The following is a 21,425-nucleotide window of genomic DNA, read 5'->3' as shown; positions in this document are numbered from 1 at the left end:
TTTTGATTTAATCTCAAAATACAACATGGATTTTGGTGACTCAGTTTTTCTTCCTATAAAAAGAAGACTCTATAAGTTTCCCAAGTATTCTGTGTGGAAACTAGTAGACGTGTAAAGGTTGATCAAATAGAATAAGTACTAAAACTATGGTTTACAATGATTTAATACAAGCCTAAGCAAATGCGTAAGTTAAAAATGTCTGTCTCAAAGTAGGAATCCCCAGATCACTATTAGAAAAAAAGTAATGTTGTGGTTTTGGTATTAATTTTTGATGTAAAATTGATTTTCATTGTGTCCCTTTTTTGGATTCAAGTATGAGAAGCTGACGACAACAGTCAAGGTAGCTTCAGAGGGATACTCTCCCCAGGAGCCACTGGTCATTCTCTTCCCCAGAGTGGAGATGCTGGCTTTCTGCTGAGAACCTGATACAGTTCCTAGGGCTCCACTCCCTTGCTTTATAGCCCATAGTCATAATTCTATCTCATTTAGAGAGATCTCAGATTTCACATCAACACAGACATACAATTTTGAATAGTCAAAATCAAATTTGGCATAGTTTTTTTTGTTGTTGTTGTTGTTTGTTTTTGTTTTGTTTTTGTGTTTTTGAGATGGAGTCTTGCTCTATCACCCAGGCTGGAGTGCAGTGGGGCGATCTCAGCTCACTGCAAGCTCCACCTCCCGGGTTCACTCCATTCTCCTGCCTCAGCCTCCTGAGTAGCTGGGACTACAGGCACCTGCCACCACGCCTGGTGAATTTTTTTTGTATTTTTTAGTAGAGAAGGGTTTCACCATGTTAGCTAGGATGGTCTTGATCTCCTGACCTCGTGATCCACCCACCTCGGCCTCCCAAAGTTCTGCGATTACAGGCATGAGCCACCGCCCCTGGCCAATTTGGCCTAGTTTTTGAGAATGCATTTCCCAGAATAGTAGATGTTTAAGAGCTTGTCTCATCCTGAGAACAATTCTCTTAGCCCTGATGGAGTTGTTTAGATCTTTTTTCCAGAAATTTTAGGATGTTAGCAACAGAGATTTCCCATATACCATCTGCCCCTGTTCATGCTGCAAATCTGCTGCAGTCTCCCTCATTGTCAACATCTCACACTACAGTGGTAGATTTCATAAAATTGATTTAACTACATCTTTGTTATTCAAAGTCCATAGTTTACATTAGTGTCCACTTTTGATGTTGTATATTCTATGGGTTTTGACAAATGTATAATGACATGTATCCACCATGATAATACCATACAGAATGATTTTACTGCCCTAAAAACCTACCTATTCATCACTTCCTCCTAACACTTGGAAACCACTAATTTTCTTACTGCCTCCAAAGTTTTGCCTTTTGCATAATGTCATATTGTTGGAATCAGACAGTACATAGTTTTTACAGATTGGCTTCGTTCACTTGGCAATATGCATTTAAGTTTCCCCTATGTCTTTTCTTGGCTTGATAGCTCATTCCTTCTCGGTGCTCTATAATATTCCAGTGCCTGGAAGTACCACAGTTTATCCATTCACATACTGAAGGACACTTTGGTTGCTCCCAAGTTTTGGACAATTATTAACAAAGTTTCCATAAACAACCATGTGCAGGCGTTTTTATGGGCATAAGTTTTCAATTCATTTTGTGGAAAAAGCAAGGAGCATTATGGCCAGATCATATGGTAAGAGTATGTTTAGTTTTGTAATTGCCAAACTGTCTTCCAAAATAGCCATACAATTTTGCATTCCAACCAGCAATAAATAAGAGTTTCTGTTGTTCCATATCACATCCTCATCAACATTTGATATTGTCAGTGTTTGGATTTTTGTCATTCTAGTAGGTAAGTAATGGTGTTTCATTTTAATTTGCAATTTCCTAATGGCATATGATGATGCTGTGCAATTTTTAAATCAGGTTGTTATATATTTCTTGTTGGATTTTAAGAATTGTTTCTATATTTTGGATAATAGTTTTATTTAATCACATATGCCTTTAACAAATATTTTCTCCCAGTTTGTGGCTTTTCTTCTCAATCTCCTGATAGAGTCAAGAGTATAAGTTTTTAATTTTAATGCACTCTAGCTTATCAATTATTTCTTTCATGGATTGTACCTTTGCTATTACATCTAAATAACTCACTGTTGTGGGCTGGGCGTGGTGGCTCACACTTGTCACCCTAGCACTTTGGGAGGCTGAAGCAGGCAGATCACAAGGTCAGGAGTTCAAGACCAGCCTGGCCAATATGGTGAAACCCCGTCTCTACTAAAAATACAAAAATTAGCGGGGCATGACAGTGGGCACCTGTAGTCCCAGCTACTCGGGAGGCTGAGGCAGGAGAATCGCTTGAACCCAGGAGGCGGAGGTTGCAGTGAGCCGAGATCATGCCACTGCACTCCAGCCTGGGCGACAGAGCAAGACTCCGTTCAAAAAGAAATAAATAAAAATAAAATAAAAATAACACATTGTTGTATCCAAGGTCATCTAGGCTTCTCCTTTGTTATCTCCTGGGCGTTTTATAGTTTCGTATTTTACATCTGGGCCTATGATCTATTTTCACTTCCTTTTGGCAAAAGGTATAAGGATTATGTCTGCATTCATTTTTGTAATATGTGCATGTCTAGTTGTTCCAGCATGATTCATTGAGGACTATCTTTACTCCATTGTATTGCCTTTGGTCTTCTGTCATGGATCAGTTTACTGTATTTGTGTGTGCCTATTTCTGGGCTCTCTATTCTGTTCTATTGATCTATTTGTCTGTTCTAATACCAATATCACAGTCTTGATTACTGTAGCTTCGTAGTAAGTCTTGAAGTCAGGTAGTGTCAGTCCTCCAACTTTGTTTTTCTCCTTCAATATTGAGTTAACTATTCTGGTTTGTTTTCCTCTTCATATAAATTTTAGAGTCATTTTTTCAGTATTTGCAAAATAACTTTGCAAAATAACTTGCTGGTATTTTGTTTGGGATTGTGTTTAATCTATACATTAAGTTGGGAATAACTGACATCTTGATAATATTGAGTCTTAGCCTTTTACTTTTTTATAACTTTTATTTTAGGTTCAAGGGGTACTTGTGCAGATTTTTTACATGCGTAAATTGCATGTTGCTGGGGCTTGGTGTACAAATTATTTCATCATGCAGGTAGCGAGCATGGTACCTGATAGGTAGTACTTTGATCCTCACCCTCTTTCCACCCTTCCTGCTCAAGTAGACTCAGGTGTCTCGTCCCATCTTTGTCCCCATGTGTACTCAGTGTTTAGTTCCCACTTATAAGTGAGAGCACATGGTATTTGGTTTTCTGGTTTTGCATTAATTTGCTTATGATAATCGCCTCCAGCTGCAGCTATGTTGCTACAAATAACATAATTCCTTTCTATTTATGGCTGCATAGTATTCCATGGTATATATGTACCATATTTTCTTTATTCAGTCCACCATTGATGGACCTAATTAAGCTAAAGAGCTTCACACAGTGAAAGAAACTATCAACAAAGTAAATGAACAACTTACAGAATGGGAGAAAATATTTGCAAACTGTGCTTCTGACAAAGGGCTGATATCCAGAATCTATAAGGAACTTGAACAATTCAACAAGCGAACAACAAATAACCCCATTAAAAATGGGCAAAGGACATGAACAGACAGTTCTCAAAAGAAGACAGACATGCATCCAACAGGCATATGAAAAAATGCTCAGCATCTCTACTCGTTACAGAAATGCAAATCAAAACCACAATGAGTTACCATCTCACACCAGGTCAGAATGGCTGTTATTAAAAAATCAGGCCAGGCGAGGTGGCTCATGTCTGTAATCCCAGCACTTTGGGAGCCCAAGGTGGGTGAATCACAAGGCCAGGAGATCGAGACCATCCTGACTAACACCATGAAACCCCATCTCTACTAAAAATACAAAAAAAAAAAAAAAAAAGAAAAAAAGAAAATTAGCCAGGTGTGGTGGTGAGCACCTGTAGTCCCAGCTACTCAGGAGGCTGAGGCAGGAGAATGGCATGAACCTGGGAGGTGGAGCTTGCGGTGAGCTGAGATTGTGCCACTGCACTCCAGCCTGGGCGACAGAGCAAGACTCTGTCTCAAAGAAAAAAAAAAAAGATAAAAAACTAACAGATGTTGGCAAAGTTTCGGAGACTATTGACTCTATTTATGAACATGAAATATCTCTTCATTTATTTAGTTTTTCTTTGATATCTTTGTAGTTTTCTTCATATGGAATTTGGTAGTTTTCTTCACATAGGTCTTGTATATGTTATCATATTTATCTCTTTTATTTTGGGGGTGCTAATATTGATGGTAATGTGGTTTTATTTTCAAATGTCATTTGTTCATTGCCGGTATATAGGAAATTGATTGAATTTTGTATATTAACCTTACATCCTGTAACCTTGCTATAATTGCTAAGTTGGTTTCTCTTTTTTGTTGTTGTTGATTCTTCTGTATTTGCTACATAGATGATCATGTCATCTGCAAAGAAATACAGTCTTATTTCTTCCTTCCCCATCTATATGCATTATATTTTCTTTTATTTTCTTATTATGTTGGTTAGAATTTCCAATACAAGGATGAAAAGCAGTGGTGAGAGGAAACATCTCTGACTTATTCTTAATTTTAGTGGGGAAGTCTAGTTTCTCACCACTAAGTATGGTGCTAGCTGTAGGTTTTCTGGAGATGTTCTTTATCAAGTTTTAAAATTTTCTTCCTATTCCTAGTTTGCTAAGAGATTTTATCATGAATGGGTGTTGGATTTTGTAAAATGCATCTATTGATATGATTGTGTGATTTTTCTGCTTTAGTCTGTTGATGTGATGAATAGCATTAATTGTCTTTAGAATGTTTAACCAGCCGAATGGGCACAGTGGCTCACACCTGTAATCCCAGCACTTTGGGAGGCTGAGGCGAGCGGATCATGAGGTCAGGAAACCGAGACCATCCTGGCTAACATGGTGAAACCCTGTCTCTATTAAAAATACAAAAAAGTAGCCAGGTGTGGTGGCGGGCGCCTGTAGTCCCAGCTACTCCAGAGGCTGAGGCAGGAGAATGGCATGAACGCGGGAGGCAGAGCTTGCAGTGAGCCAAGATCGTGCCACTGCACTCCAGACTGGGTGACAGAGTGAGACTCCATCTCCAAAAAAAAAAAAAAAAAAAGTTTAACCAGCCTTGCATACCTGGGATAAATCCCACTTGGTAGCAGCGTATATTTCTTTCTGTACATTGTTGGACTGAATTTGCTAAAGTTTTGTTGGGGATTTTTCTTCTGTGTTTATGAGAAATATTGATCTGTAGTTTTCTTTCCTTGTAGTATCTTTTATGGTTTTGGTATTAGGGTAATGCTGGCCTCATAGAATGATGAAGTATTAAGAGTTATTTCCTCTACTTCTATCATCAGAAAGAGATTGTAGAGAATTGGTATAATTTCTTCCTTAAAAATGTAGTAGAATTCACTGGTGAAACCATCTGGGCCTGGTTCCTTTTGCTTTATTAAACTATTAACTATTTATTTAATTTCCTCAGTCAACATGGGACTATTCAGATTGTCTATTTCTTCTTGTGTAAGTTTTGGCAGACATATCTTTCAAGAAATTGGTCTGTTTCATATAGGTCATCAAATTTGTTGGTACAGAGTTGTTCATATTTCTTTACTATCCTTTTAATGTCCATGGGTTGGTAGTGATGTCCCTTCTTTCATTTCTGATACTAGTAAGTTGGTTGTTCTCTCTTTTTTTCTTAATTATTCTGGCTAGAGGCTTATTCGTTTTATTGATCTTTTCGTAGAACCAGTTTTTGGTTTCATTGATTTTCTCTGTTCATTTTCTCTTTTCTATTTCATTGACGTTTGTTCTAATTGTACTATTTATTTTCTTCTGCTTACTTTTGATTTAGCTTCCTCTTCTTGTTTCTAGTTTTCTAAGTCAGAATATTAGATTGTTGGTTTTAGATCATTCTTCTAGAAATCTCCATCTAAGCATGCTTTACGTGCATCACACGCATGTGATAAGTTCCATTTTCGTTTATTTCAAAATACTTTAAATTTTCTCTTGAGATTTATTCTTTGACCCACGGGTCATTTAGAAGTGGATTGTTTAATCTTCAAGTATCTTAAGATTTTTCCAGTGATCTTCCCGTTATTGATTTCTAGTTTAATTACATTTTGATGTGAGATCACACATTGCGCAATTTCTGTCTTTTACATTTCTTAAGGTATGTTTTCAGTTCTGGATGTGGTCTGTCTTGATAAATGTTCCACATGAGCTTGAGAAGAATGTGTGATCATGTGTTGTTGGATAAAGTAGTCTATAGATTTCAATTATATCTAATTGACTCATGACAGTTTTGAGTCCAACTATGTCCATACTGATTTTCTGCCTGCTGGATCTGTCCACTTCTGAAAGAGGGACAATCATTAAAATCCCCAACTATAATCATGGATTCATCTGTTTCTCCTTGCGGTTCTATCAGTTTTTTGTCTTGTATATTTTGCTGCTCTGTTGTTAAGTGCACACACAGTAAAGATTGCTGTGTCGTCTTGGAATATTGGCTCCTTTATGATTATATATTGCCCCATCTCTATCTCTGATGACTTACCTTGCTCTAATTTCAGATTTCAGGAAATCTGCTTCCTGAAATTAATATATCTGCTCCTACTACCTCTAAATAGTGTTACCATGGCATATTTTCTTCTGTCTCTTTACTTTTTATCTATATAATATTTATATTTAAGAAGGGATTCTGTAGGCAATATATAGTTGAGTTTTGTTTTTGACCCACTCTGAAAATCTCTGTTTTAATCGATGTTTTCAGACCATTGATGTTAAAGTGCTTATTGACAGTTGGATTAACATGTACTCTATGTGTCACTATTTTGCATTTGTTGCCCTTATTCTTTGTTCCTATTTTTTTGTCTTCCACACCTTTTCTTTCTTTTGTGTTTTTAATTCAGCATTTTACATAATCTCATTTTCTCTCCTACCACCTTCTTAGCATTTCAATTGTACTTTTTAAAAACCATTTTTTTAGTGGTTGCCCTAGAGTTCACACTATACATTCACAACTAATTTATGTCAACTTTAATATAATAATATACCTATTCATGGGTAGGAAGTATCTTAAAGGTAGTTCAAGTACCTTATAATAACAAAATATTCCTAAATTCATTTATTCCCCATCCATTGTATTGTTGCTATCATTCATTTCACTTACACATAAACACACACACACACACACACACACATTTGTGCACAAATACCTTGTTGCTATTATAACTTTGAAAAAAACATAATCTGTTAGATCGGTGAAGGATTTTAAAACTAAACATTTTGATTTTACTTATTCATTCTTCAGTGCACTTCCTTTATGTAGATCTGAGTTTCTGACATATAGTTTATTTCTAAATAACTTCCTTTAATATTTCTTGAAAGGCAGATTTACTGGCAACACATTTTCTCAATTTTTGTTTGTCAGAGCAAGTCTTTCTCTTTCACCATTGAAGGATAATTTCTTAGGGTACAGAATTCTTGGTTGGTGTTTTGTTTCGATTTTCTCAACACTTTACTTGTTTCACTCTACTCTGTACTTACATGGTTTCTGAGAAGTCAGATGCAATTTTTATCTTTTCTCCTCTGTAGATAAGGTGGTCTTTTCCTCTGATTTTTTTTTGTAATTTTTTTCATTATCTTTGATTTTCTGAAATTTGAATATGAATGTGTAGGCTTTTCTTATTAGAATTCATGACTACTGTATCAGTAGTTCCAAATAAAACCTTTCCCTTCACTAGCATACTAGATATACTTTAAATAGGTAAGATTTAAAATAGGTAAGCTTTCTGCATTTTTTTGAAGGTACTAAATCCATCCTTTCATTTTCTCATTTATTTACTTCCTTCATGCCTGCTAATTATTGGTATTTTGCAAGATACTAAAGATTAAATGTCATGATTTTTCCATAATTCCTTCCCATAACTCAAACCTGAGATTATCTCACTCCTTCCCTTTGGTTTCTTAGGTCCCGTGGTCTTTACTCTGTCATATTCACCCTAAACAAAAATACACGTGCAGCTGCAAAAAAAAAAAAAAAAAAAAAAAAAACATTTACATTAAAATCATCTTAGTCTCAGCAAATTGGGCCAACAGGGCTATTTTATTGGAAGATGTGGCTAGAAAACATCTTAGTAGATGAAGATGAGCATACAATTTATTGTATGTTGATCCAATGAGATACTGTCTGGCACCAATAGAACAGCTACATGATTAATATGCCAATGTTGAACTTTGACACAACCATATCGTGTGGAGCTCCAGTATCTCTCGACACTCTTGATTTCCCCTTGGGAATATAATGCACTATATGATGGGATAACTTTCCAGTGCATACATAATTGAACTTTGTATATGAAATACCAGCAAGCAGATGAATAAATATTTGCTCAAACCTGCTATTTGAATGCCCTGCATCACTGGGGTAAAATTTTAATATTATATCCCAGTACTATTTTTATATTCATGTTGTCATGAAATCTTCCCAAACTCAAACATCTGTTAGATACATACTTCAAGACTCAGTTATTGCAAACTCATTTCTAGCATCTCAAGAGAACTTTAATGCAGGTGTTTGAGTGTGTAAGCATATAGTTCATTCCAGACATTGGTTCCCTAATAAGTTGTGACTGCTTTTCTCTCTCTTGCTATTTGAATAAACAAAGACTCATAGTTAGTTCTGGTGATTTAGGCATTTATCCAGACACTTGCATCATGATAGAAGCTGCAGAATATAGTCTACTAACAAGATAAACAACTAAAAAATGCTTCTGAGCAAATTTTTGTTTGTAAAAACATCAGTAATACCATTTGTCACCTGCTCTAGGTCATTGAGATGGTGGCATTGAAAGGACTGACAAACTGGAATGATTTGCAAAGCAACTGGAAAGGTTGACTATGGCTCTTTAAGGGATCATCATGGGTCGTAGACTTGAAAATAATATCTGAACATTTGCCCCTGGTATGACAGATTTTTAGTATGGAATTTTCAGAGTCCTAAACTTTGTATGGTAAATTTGGCCTTTAAGCAACCCGACTTTAGCCAAATGCAGTTAGTGTTAAATATTTTACTGTGATTCACCTTCTTGGCTCAAACATATACCATTTTTTTATTTAAAGAAACTTTGATCTGCAAACCTCAAAGGCAAAGTAATTAACAGCTACTCTCGCATCACTCAGTACAGGTACATAATTATAGCTGCACCTGCATATTTTTTTTTACTGAAATATTTTATCCCAGGTCCAGATAAGTAGAATAATGCCATTAAAATAAGGCTGATATTTAGACACACGAGGGGACCTGATTTTTAGCACTCAGATGACAGCAGAAAAAATAAACCACATAGACAATGCATCCACCGGACATATCCTTCCACTTACATTCGTGACTTTGACTTAATTTTATATTTCCTCAAAGATTAAAATTAAGATTTATCTATTCTGTTTTTCAAGTGAATTGAATTGACTGATGTGAATGCAGAGATGACATTTGCATCGTGCTGCCTTCTTTTCCCACTGCATTACTCTGATGGCTCTTGTTTAAAAAAAAAAATAAGTACAGATTGCTAACCTTAGCATGAAGAACCTACACAGTCTATATTCAACGTCAGTCAGACACATCACCTGGAGAAAAAACCGTCTACTCCAGTGAACCTGTATTGTTCTAAGCTACAGTTAATGAATGCCTACCACTCACCTGCTACTGGCTTTTGAGACAGACCAATATGGGCTTGAATTTAGGCCCCATTTTCTGAGAGTAATACCAATTTCATAGATCACTATGAGCATTAAGTGGAATTCTAATCATAAATTACCTACGTTTGTGCTGGGCACATAACAGTTGCTTGATAATTATAGTTACGGGGAGCAAGGGGAGGGAGAGCATTAGGATAAATACCTAATGTACGCGGGGCTTAAAACCTAGATGATGGATTGATAGGTGCAGCAAACCACCACGGCACATGTATACCTATGTAGCAAACCTGTACATTCTGCACATGTATCCGTGTATCCCAGAACTTAAAGTAAATTTTAAAAAAAAGAATGAAAATGGAAAAAAAAGAACGATACATTGGATTTGGGGGACGCAGGGGAAAGGTTGGGGGGGTTGGCAAGGGAGAAAAGACTACACATTGGGTACAGGGTACACTGCTTGGGTGATGGGTACACCAAAATCTCACAAATCACCACTAAAGAACTTATTCATGTAACCAAATACCCCTGTTCATCAAAAACCTATTGAAATACAAAAATTAATAATAATAATTATTATAGTTACTATGCATTTATCAAAGATTTGTGTTCCAAGTTACAGACTCTAATTCAAAGTGCCTAGGAAAATAGTGGGGTTTATTAGATGAACACTGGATATCTCTTATAGGCAAACTATGGGATGAGAATGGGTGCAGCTGGGTCTCAGGGATAACTGGCACTAGGAACTAAATGCTGTTGCCAGAAATCCTCTCTCTCTCTCTCTCTTTCTCTGTCTCTCTCCTTTCTCTTTCCACCATTTGCTCCTTTATCTCATAAAGATGTACCAACCTTCTCACAGAGAAAGAACAAGATAATTAACAGCTCTTGAGTTTTGTTTTTGTTTGTTTGTTTTGAGACAGTCTCACTCTGTTGTTCAGGCTGGAGTGCAGTGGGGTGATCTCGGCTCACTGCAACCTCCGCCTCCCGGGTTCAAGTGATTCTTCTGCCTCAGCCTCCTGAGTAGCTGGGACTACAGGTGCGCGCCACCATGCCCAGCTAATTTTTGTATTTTTAGTAGAGACAGGGGTTTCACCATATTGGCCAGGCTGGTCTCAAACTCCTGACCTCATGATCTGCCCGCCTCAGCTTCCCTCCCAAAGTACTGGGATTACAGGCATGAGCCACCACACCCAGCCAGCTCTTGAGTTTTATTCTGTGATTGACCCTCATTCTTTGTGGTTCTCAGTCTGAAAGTTTCAGGGAAGGGCTCCACTTTGTTGACCTTGTATTAGATGCCCAGCTCTTTTCATCAGTTGCCTTGGTCTGTGCTGCTGTAACAAAATGCCACAGACCGGGTAATTTATAAACAACAGACATTTATTTCTCACAATTCTGGAGGCTGCAAAGTCCAGTAACAAGGTGCCGAGAGGTTGGTGTCTGGGGAAGGCTGTTCTCTGCTTCCAATGTAGTGCCCCGTTGCCTCCTCCAGAGGGATGGATGCTGTGTCTTCACATGGTTAAAGAAATGTAAGAAGTAAATTCACCCCCTCAAGCTTTTTCATGAGGTTGCTAATCTCATTCATGAGGGCTGCACCCTCATGACCTAATCACCTTTCAAATGCCCCACCTCTTACAGCTATCACATTGGAAATTAAGTTTCTGCACACGAATTTTGGAAGATATTCAGACTATAAAATTCCACCCCTACGCCTCCAAATTCATGTCCTCACATGAAAAATATATTCATTCCATCTCAATAGCCCCAAAAGTCTTAATGCATTTCAGCATCAACTCAAAATTCTAAAATCTAAAGTCTCATCTAAATATCGTTTAAATCAGATATAGGTGAGACTCAAGGTACAAGTCATCCTGTGAGAAATTTCCCTCCAGCTGTCAGCCTGTGAAATGAAACAAATTATATGCTTTTGAAATACCATGGTGGGAGGGTCATAAGATAGTCATCCCCATTCTAAAAGGAAGAAATAGGGGGAAATAAAGGGTAGTAGGTCCCAAGAGAATCCAAAACTCTAGGGCAAACGACATTAAATCTTCAAGTTTGTGAGTAATCTTCTTTGACCCTATGTCTCACCTCCTGGACACACTGGTTCAGGGGTTGGGCCCCCATGGCCTCAGGAAGCCTCACCTCCACGGCTTTGCTGGGGATAGCCCACACTTCAGTTTGCATTATTGAAGAGGTGCGTGACTGTGACTTTCCCAGGCTGGCGTTGCACTCTGGTGGCTGTACAGTTCTGTGGTATGGGGGAGACTCATTCCCACAGCTCCACTACACGTGGCTCTAGTGAGGATGCTCTGTGATGGCCCTGGCTCTGTGGAAGTTTTCTGCCTGGGCCCTGAGGCTCTCTGAGGCATCTTTTGAAATCTAGGTAAAAGCATCCATGCCCTCACAGCTCGTGAACTCTACACACCTGCAGAATTAGCACAATGTGGACACCACCAAAGCTGACCACTTGTGCCCTATCAAGTGGTGGCCCAAGCTGCACCTGGGTCCACTTGAGCCACAGCTGGGGAAGCCAAGGAACATTGCAGCAGAATGTGAGAAACAGAGATGTTAGTCATCCCTGGGTCTTCAGGTTTGAGGTCCCACAGGTGCCCTGGGCTTCTCCTTTGAAACTATTCTACCCTCAAGGCCTTAGCACTCTAGGAAATGGCATCACTGATAATCTCTGAAATGCCCTCTGGGTCATTGTTTCATTGACTTGATGAATAGCATCTAGCTTCTTTCTAACCATACTGATCCTTATCAAATGGTAGGTTGGCCATACTCTGGGTATTCTCTCTCAAACACACTTTTCTGTTCTTCACAATCTAGCCAGGCTGAAAATTTTCCCAATCTTTAAGTTCTGCTTTCTCTTTAATTATAAATTCTGTCTTCACTTCATTTCTTTCTTCTCATATTTTCATATAAGCTGTCAGGAGAAGCTGTGCAGCACCCTGAACATTTGCTTGGAGGTTTCTTTTGCCAAATTTCCTAGTTCATCACTCTTAAACTCTGCTTTCCACAGAGCACTAGGATATGAACACAACTCAGCCAGGTGCTTTGCCACTTGGTAACAATGATGGCCTTTCTTCCTGTTTCTAATACATTATTTCTCGTCTCCACCTAAGACCTCATCAGAATGGCCTTTGCCATCTATATTTCTACCAATATTCTGTTCATGACCACTTTGATAATGTCTAAGAAGATTTAGGCTGTCTGTAAAGCTCTTTTCTTCTGTGCCCTCATCATAATCAGTCTCAATGCTCTGTTCATACCCATCTAGGGTTTTTTCCTAGCATGCATCTCAAACTCTTCCAGCCTCTGCCCATTACCCAGTTCCAAAGCCATGTCCCCATTTTAGGTATGTGTTGCAGCAGCACCCCAAATATAACAGAGACAAGCAGAGATTTTGAGTTGGCAGGCGAGGTAAGGGAGTGGATGGAGAATTACTAAGAATGTGATTAGGTATCTAGGAGGAGAAGCATGTCTAAGTAGTAAGGGCGGAGAGGATGCTCCATAAATGGGCTCAGCAGGATTCTTGGCTAAAACCGAGCCAACGACAAGGCCTAGTAGAGAAGAGGATTCAGAGGAGACTAAAGTTTCATCAAGGAGACAGTCCTTGTGAATTTACCTGTGTACATTTTTGATATTTAGTGTATCTCCCACTATGAAGTAAGCTCCATTAGGAGAGAACCTGTTAACTTTTGCTCACCATTTTATTCCCAACACCTAGAACAGTGCCAAAGTACGTGGCATGTGCTCAATAAGCATCTGTTTATTAAATCATTGACAGCAGATTTTGAGTGTAATTCCTCTGCTTCAATTTCCTTCCCCAATGTCTCTATCAAACATAAGCCACTGGGTTTTTTTTTTTAGGGGTTGGTTGAAGTCCCCCCTTCTCAACAAATCCTTCTCTGATAGTTTCAGTTCCAAATGTATCCCATTTTTCTGTACTTCAGTACGTAGTTACTGCCTGTACCATTTATCAGGGACTTAATCATATTCTTTCTTATTTCTTAATGAATTCAGCTGTGTGACTCCCAGAACAACTAAATTATGTGCCCTTAGAGAGTGGGGACCTTGTCAGAAGCCTTTTGTTTTGCCTTTAGCACAGAGTATGTTGCTATTGCCTGGTAGATGCTCAGCAAATATCTCCAAACGAGTAAGTTAATTCATTAGTTAATACAATTAATGCTTAGCCCTAAAGTGGTTTACAATTAATAAGAAACACAGAATAAATACTTGTAATTTTACTTACAAAAATAACATTTATCTAGGTAAGTAAAATTCTCTTCAAAGAAAATAATCTGGAAGATGATAGTGCTGTTGTTAAAGTGTATTCATTACTCACATTCTCCTTAGAATCTTCTTTTGGCATAATGTATGCCTGTTTTTTTGTCATATTTCCAGATACTATCTGTATATCTCTACTTGTCACATAGTAGCTATGATCTGAACAGGCAATTGGTTCTGCTCACTTACTATTATCAGAAAGACTGGCTCAAGATCAGCTGCTCCTTTTTGGCACTTGCCCTTCAAAATTTAATTGGCTTAGATCCAACGATTCTATATTATGGGTCAAATCACTCCATCACATTGTGATACATTTGGCAATCAGTGTATATCAGCGGGTTCATCTAGAAACTACATTACTTACTATTAGCCATCCTATGGGAACTTTTGGAGATATTTTCATTGCTCTGATAGATGATTGATATCACTTGCTTTGGAATTTTTCTGGGATGAAATTATAGTAGTCATGCTTAATGTGTTAGAATATGGGGACATGATTACTTATTCTCCCCGTTTTAGAAGCACTGCCAAACCTGCCCCCCTCTCAGATGGTAACCAAAACATTTAGACCATTCTGGGTTGGTAACATGAATGACCTGCGTTCCAGGGGTTTGTCAGAAGCATATCTTGTATAATTCTATTGTTCCACTCTCATTTAAAGTCTTGTTGCAGAAAGTTATTTATCCATGTTATATAATTAATCCACTATTTGAATTAAACTGAAACCACCGCATGTTTTAGCTTGATATCAAGTGATTTTTATTGCAATCCCCTTTGGTATTGTAACCCAATTCATTGGAAGCCAATGGCAAAAGAAACAGATGACAAAATTTCTCTTTGATATTGGAAGATATTGGCGAGGGCAGTGTCCACTGGGACTGTCACTGAGTGTGAGCTTGCTGTTTTGAAGGGAATGGCATTCACTATCCCACATCATGGGCACAGCACTCATGGTCACTTGGATCTTGCCCCTTGTATGAAAGAGTTAATGGTGGCTTATGGAAATGATGTAATTTGCTAAATTAACTAAGTTAGAGGCAAAGGTGAAACTACGTGACTTCGCAATCCGTGCTTTTAAGAGTCAATGGAAAACCATGAAGTTTTCTGTCTCAGTACTTAGCAAAGCCGTGGTTCTCCCATGTAAAAGGTTCATGGTTATTTTGTGTACTACCTGCCTACAGTAAGTAATAGTACTCTTTCTCTTTTGTTAATAATGCAAAGTCAAATGTGCCATCCACTGTCAACATTAATATAAGACTTTTCACATGGATTTTGATATGTACTTCTATGCAGTTGTATTTTATTTCTCACCCTTACCTTCTTATTACACACTTTTTCTCATATATTTATTTTATCGTGCTACACAGTGGATACTTTGGCAAGCTGTCACAAATACAATTTGATAATTACAGTTCACACATTTTACTCTGCTATACCATCTCCTAACCGTCTAGTAAGAGAGCTGAGTGCCCGTTTTACAGATGAGGGCTTTGAAGTTTGGGTAGTGTGATCCTATGACTGCTCAGCTAGCCAGTGCGGGAAAGAGCCTGTAAGCATCAGCATTTGCTGTCAAGCTCGATCATACCTCTACAGGGTTCTAGTCAAGAGCAGCATCTTCCAAATACTGTTCTCTGGCACGCTGGCATGTTAGATATATTAATAGATGCTCCTAAATGTTAACTTAAAAATAGTCTGTAGTCATACGTGTTGGCTAAATATCTCTCTCGGGTTGCGACAGAAAATTAATATGTTAAACTCTGTGAAGCAGAGCAGGTTAAATTGATGTTTTATAAGTTTACTTGGTCCAGCACATATTTTTCTTTTCATTCAAAATGCTTATTCATTGAGTCTACATGGACATAAAGATGGGAACAGTAGACCCTGGGGACTTCTAGAAGGGGGATGGAGGGAAGGGCAAAGGCTGAAGAACCCCCTATTAGGTTCTAGGCTCACTACCTGGTGACTGGGTCATTTGTGCTCCAAACCTCAGCATCGCACAGTATACCCATCTAACAAACCTAGGCAGGTAGCCCCTACACCTAAAATAATACTTAAAATTATACAATGAAAGAAAATGCTTATTAACATCTTCTTCAAAACTGCTATTTAAAAAAATCAACTTGGAAAATGTTGGTAAATATAACGATAATGTTGAAAGAGCCTAAGCAGCAATTCAGTCCTAGCCTCAGCTCTCACTAACCAGCAGCGTGACCTTCATTCAGTCACTTAACCTCTTTGGGTCTTAAGTTCGTCGTCTGTTAAATTATAGGTTTGAACTCGATGATCTCAAATGCTCCTCTCAGTGCTAAGATGTTTGATGTTTGACTCTAAGTGCAATCTCATCTCAGGCAGGCTCAAGTGTATACTTAGGTTCTAAGGGTTAATGTAGCATCCAGAAGAATTTTGATTTGAGAATAAGCTCATAACAAGGAAGGAAATCTTGCCACTTGAGACAACATGAATGAACCTGGAGAATATGCTAAGCAAAATAAGCCAGACACAGAAACACAAGTACCGCACGATCTTACTTATATGTAGAATCTTAAAAAGTCAAATTCATAAAAGCAGAGTAGAACAGTGGTTACCAGTGGCTGCGAGTGTAGGGGGATGGGGAGATACTGGTCAAAGGGTACAAACTTTCAGTTCCAATATGAGCAGCTTCTGGGGACCTAAGGTACAGCACGGGTGGTGATGAATGTGTTCCTTAATTTGATTGTGCAGTCATTACACCATGCATTACACCATGCATTACATCAAATCATCACGTTGTACACCTTGAATATATTCAATCTTTATCTGCCAACTATTTCATTTATTTAAGCAGAATTTTCATCTACAGGAAGAAGATGGGGTAAAGAGGAGGACATTTATCAGACAATACATTGACTTTTTATTGCAAACTAGAAATTGAACTTATCTGCATTTCCTTTCTTATTTATATTATTCTCCAAGTTGTAGGAAGCTCAGAGAAAAAAATTGAAGACATAAAAAAGTTGATGTCCCTTGCAAAGTTGAAAAAAAAATCACATCACATTTTATGTTAGGCTTTTAAAATGGGGGAAAATAATTACACCTCAAATTGAGAACATCACTTGACTGTAATATCCCTTTTCAAGCAGATTCTACTAATTCCAGATTTAGAAAATGAAAATGTGTTCATAGAAACCATCAGAGCAAGGCAGATGGAATAAGGTATTTGAAAAATCTTAAAGCTGTGCTTGAATTATCACCTTTGGATCTGCATATTTGAAATATATGATTAAAAGGCTTTCTCTAGCACTGTTTTACACCATCTTCTGAAATGCACAGAGAGGGATCATTAACTGTCCTCTATTTTCTCTGAGGATGGAATAAAGCAAAGAAGGATTTCAACTGCAGCAGGAAGGAGCCGAGTTAGATATTAGATGAACCGACAGGTTAATTAAACAATTCAACTAGCTTCCAGAGATGACTTGGCTACTGCAGATTTAACATACGCATGATCTCCTAGATTGCCTTCTACTTTTATAATTCATTCTCAGATCAGATATACACTAGAACCCAAGAAGTCTCTCTTCTCTTCTAGTTCTTTCCAACCTAGAATGCCTATTTAGACCTTCGTCAAAATTCCGACTTGTCTTTGAGGTGCACATGTACTTTTACCTTCTTTTGGTCTGTAAGATCTTTAATTCATGTAACATTCTGTTACATAGCACTCCTTTCTCATCAATAACATATGCCTTGGTACTTTATTGTATGAGAATATAAATTACATTCATCAGGCTACACCACTGCCTTCTTAGTTAATTGCTAGGTAAGGTTTGTCTTGCCAAATGCATTGAAAGCTCTTTCAAATCAATTCAACAAATAGTTTTTGCTCTATGTGCTGGGTACCAAAGGGATCCTCTTTAAAGATAAAGAAAACACCACCATTGATCTCAAAGAGCTTAGTGTCTGGTGTGGGGAATGGCATGCACACAGCTAATTAAAACACAGAGCTGTGTGTAACATGGCTGTGGCAGAGACAGAAAGGAGGTATTGTGTATGGAAGGTAATGAGGGGAAACTTCATGAAAGAGAAGCGTTTGAACACAGGGTGTGAACTCTGTCAATCCCAGGCAGATCTGTAGTTCTACTGTGGAGCCCCATGTCTGGCACATAGTAGGCAGCTACTCATGAAATGCACTGGGTTGTATGAATCAGTGAAGACATAAATATATTTTTCCAGGCAAAGGCATGAAGGAAGTGGGATCTAAATGGAAGGATGAACTTCAACATTAAATAAAGGAGTCCATTTAGCTGGATTTTACATAAACGGAAAGTGAAGGAGATAAACTTAGAAAAGTAAGTAGGAATGAGATATTTCAGTCCTTGAGTGACATAATACATGGTTTAATCTTTATTTGGTAGGTAATGAAAGCAGAGTCGGACTTTGAACAGATGAACAATATGGTGGAGGCTTTTGATGTCAGTATTTTTATATCATGGTTCTTATAATAAATCTATATTGTATGGTAGATGCTCACTCATGCTTGAATTTGAGTTTGAGTTCTAAGTAAAAAAAAATGGCAAGGTTTTAAATAGAAATGATGGGAGTTACATTATAAAAACCACAGATATAACAGGTGATCTCATACTCGCAGTGCAGAAGGACATGGAGACCCCATGAGGCTGAGCAAGAGAGCTGGGCTTGGGGCCAGACCTCTCTGATCAGGCCAGGCCCTATCTGTCCGACTGCCTGGAGCGCCCCAATACGCCTCCCAGTGATGTGCTGCCTGACCCCAGATTGGCTTCCAAGCCAAGCCGAATATCCTTCAATTTCATTTTAAAGGAGGAAGTGCTTTGTTTTCAAACTTAGACACCCTCAAGAGATGCCTGCGTCAATATTTGCCTCCCTGGTATGAAGTTTTCTTTGTGGAAGCTGAATCTCTCAGCTGAAGCTTAACACCTCTTTCTGGGAAACTAAACAACGAAACTTGAATTTGAAAATTGACCTTCATCGGATGTTAATTAGCCTTCTTAAAACATTGATGGTTGAGAATGATAAGAACCAAATGATGTTTATGGAGTGCGCAGGGTGTGCAAGGCCCTGTGCAGGTGTCTGGGGGGTGGGCTTTGGAGAACTGCCAAGGTATGAATGCTGGTTCTGCCACTTACTAGTTGTTTGTTCCTGGAGGAGCTATTACCATTAGTTACTTTCCTAATTTATAAAATGAAACCAATAAGGCCTGCCCTACAGATCTTTTCTGTGGGTAGGTACAATGCACAATACAGTCTCCGCTTGCCAGTTAAAAAAAAAATGTCAAGAGAGGTCTCTGCTCTCAAAGAATTTGCCATCTAGTTAGGGAGACGAGGCGGGAGCATGCAAAAAGTCAATTAGTAACAAAGGATTGAAATAACAATTCCAGACAATAACAGAAAAGATGTCACAAGGCTGTATATGATTAATTGCCAAATGAATTTTTCACACAGTAAGAATTCAAAGAGAGAACATTTAGGATTGGGACATCTACCAAGTTCATCATCCCGTCATTCCGCAACCTTCCGTGCAGCGAATCCTTCCTGTCCTCGCGCTCACAGCCCATGTGGGATCCTGGGCTGGTCTGGAGGGCATCTGGCATTCCACATGGGCCTCCCGTTATTGGAGATGTGGTCTCTCCCCAGTGGCGAGGCCGTGTTCCAAAGGAATATCCTGCAGAATACTCCAAACCCAAGATAACTGTTCCAGTATGAATGGAGTGCCAGGTCTCTTTCCATTGCAAGTGGCGAACATGCAACTGAATCCAGCTTTGAGATGTGGATTTATCCACTCAATGGCTGGAACAATCCAGGTGCAATTCCTGGGAGCAGGCACGCTGGATGCATGGGCCGAGCCTTCCGGGGCCCTGCCTGGCCCCTCTCTGGCCCTTCCCAGGCTGGGGTGGGGTGGGGTTGGCTCCCTCAGGCCAGCCCTCTCCGCAGCCAGCGACCCGAGACAGGGGCACCAGTATCCGGGACTCAGGCTGGGGCAGTGGGAGCACACACGCATGCGGTCGCGGGGCCTCGGAGAGGGGCAGCTCAGAGGGGTCGGGTCTGGGAGTGAGACCACAGCGCGCGCCCGGCTCAGGCAAAGCCCGCGGCTCCCGCTCCCGCCGCTCAGTGCACCCGCGGGAAAGGCAGCAAAGCGAGCGGCGCCCCAGTGACTGTGCGGCCCGCTCGGCGGGGTGTGTGCGTGTGTGTGTGTGCGTGTGTGTGCGTGGTGTGTGTGATGTGAGTGTGGTGCGCACACGGGTGCCGTCGGGGCGCAGGCGGTGTTTCCGGGCGGGTGCCCTGTGGCTCCACCAGGCAGTGGCTGGGCTCGGCTGGGGCGTCCGCCGCGGGCTCCGGCGCTGACGGGCGCCCTCTGGCGGCCGCGCGGACGAGGTGCGGTCCCGGCGAGGCACTGGCGCGACGTCCGCCCCGGCCCCTGGCGCCCCCTTGCGGCGGTCTCCGGGCAGCGCGTCTGCCTGGGACGAGGTCGGCTCGGAGGGGCCCCCGGCACCCTGCAGGCTGGCGACCTCTCCGGGTTGGTGGGCCCCGCCCGGGCCGCGAGGAGGCCCAGGCGCCGGGGCGGGGAGGCCGCGCATGGGGTCCGCAGCGGCGGGACGGGCCGCGGGGGAGAAGCGGTCTCCAGAGGGGCCTTGAGCCCCTCGCCCGGCTTCGTAGCTGACAGGGCCGTGCCGTGCCGAGGGCTGTGCCACTCGGCGCAGAACGGGGTGGGGCGGGGGTAGTAAGAGGGGAAAGGGGGATGGGCGAGGGGGAGGAGAGGATGAGGAGGAGAGGAGGGGAAGGGGGATGGGCGAGGGGGAGGAGAGGATGAGGAGGGGAGGAGGGGAGGGTGGCAGGTGGGGAAGGGAAGAGGGGAGCGTGGGGAGGGGAGGATGGGGAGGATGGGGAGGAGGGGAAGAGAAAGGATGGGGAGGGGGGAGGATAGGGAGGAGAGGAGGGGTGCGGGGGAGGGGAAGAGGGGAGGGTGGGGAGGGGACGGCGCAGCGGGTCCTCTGCCTTGGGCAGACCCGGCCTTCCCTTTGCCCCAGCCGGGTGGAGCCCGGCTCGCCTACCCAAGGCCCCAAGACTCCAGCGCGGGAGCTGGTGGCTTCCAGGGGCTCCCGGAGTGGCCCAGGACCCCGGGTCGTGCGGACGCGGGGCTCCTCTAGAGGCTGGAGGGGAGCCGAGGCGGAGGCCCAGGCCCGGGCTTGTCCTGCCCTTGGCCTGGGGAGGGGTCCCTGAGCCGGGAGCTGCTCTGGGCCCGGGTCACCCCCGGCCGTCTCAGGGCTCTTAGCAGCAGGAATGGCGCCAGTAAAGAACGCGCGCTAGAAGGAAACGGCAGGACTCTGGGCACACTCGGGAGCAGGGACAGAACTTCCCGGGGCTGCTGAGGGACGCCTCCCAGGGGACCGCGCTCCCGTTGGGATGCAAGG

At 41.0% G+C, this 21,425-nt stretch overlaps 1 protein-coding gene across 4 annotated transcripts in view, besides 1 other annotated feature; it reads left to right on the top strand.

Moving 5' to 3' along the window:
* The window catches only part of OPCML (opioid binding protein/cell adhesion molecule like), a 1,117,521-nt gene that overhangs the window by 429,147 nt on the left and 666,949 nt on the right, over positions 1-21,425 (top strand). The window lies entirely within an intron of this gene.
* Positions 20,183-20,542: a silencer, noted in NCBI's record as "silent region_4085". NCBI's record gives its function as "represses an Ori minimal core promoter by ATAC-STARR-seq in GM12878 lymphoblastoid cells {active_cell/tissue: GM12878}" and the evidence as "EXISTENCE:reporter gene assay evidence [ECO:0000049][PMID:35858748]".

Source organism: Homo sapiens, chromosome 11, assembly GCF_000001405.40.
Source record: "Homo sapiens chromosome 11, GRCh38.p14 Primary Assembly".
Lineage (NCBI taxonomy): Eukaryota > Metazoa > Chordata > Mammalia > Primates > Hominidae > Homo > Homo sapiens.
Note: the sequence above shows the minus strand (reverse complement) of the source record. Positions and strands in the feature narration are given on the sequence as shown.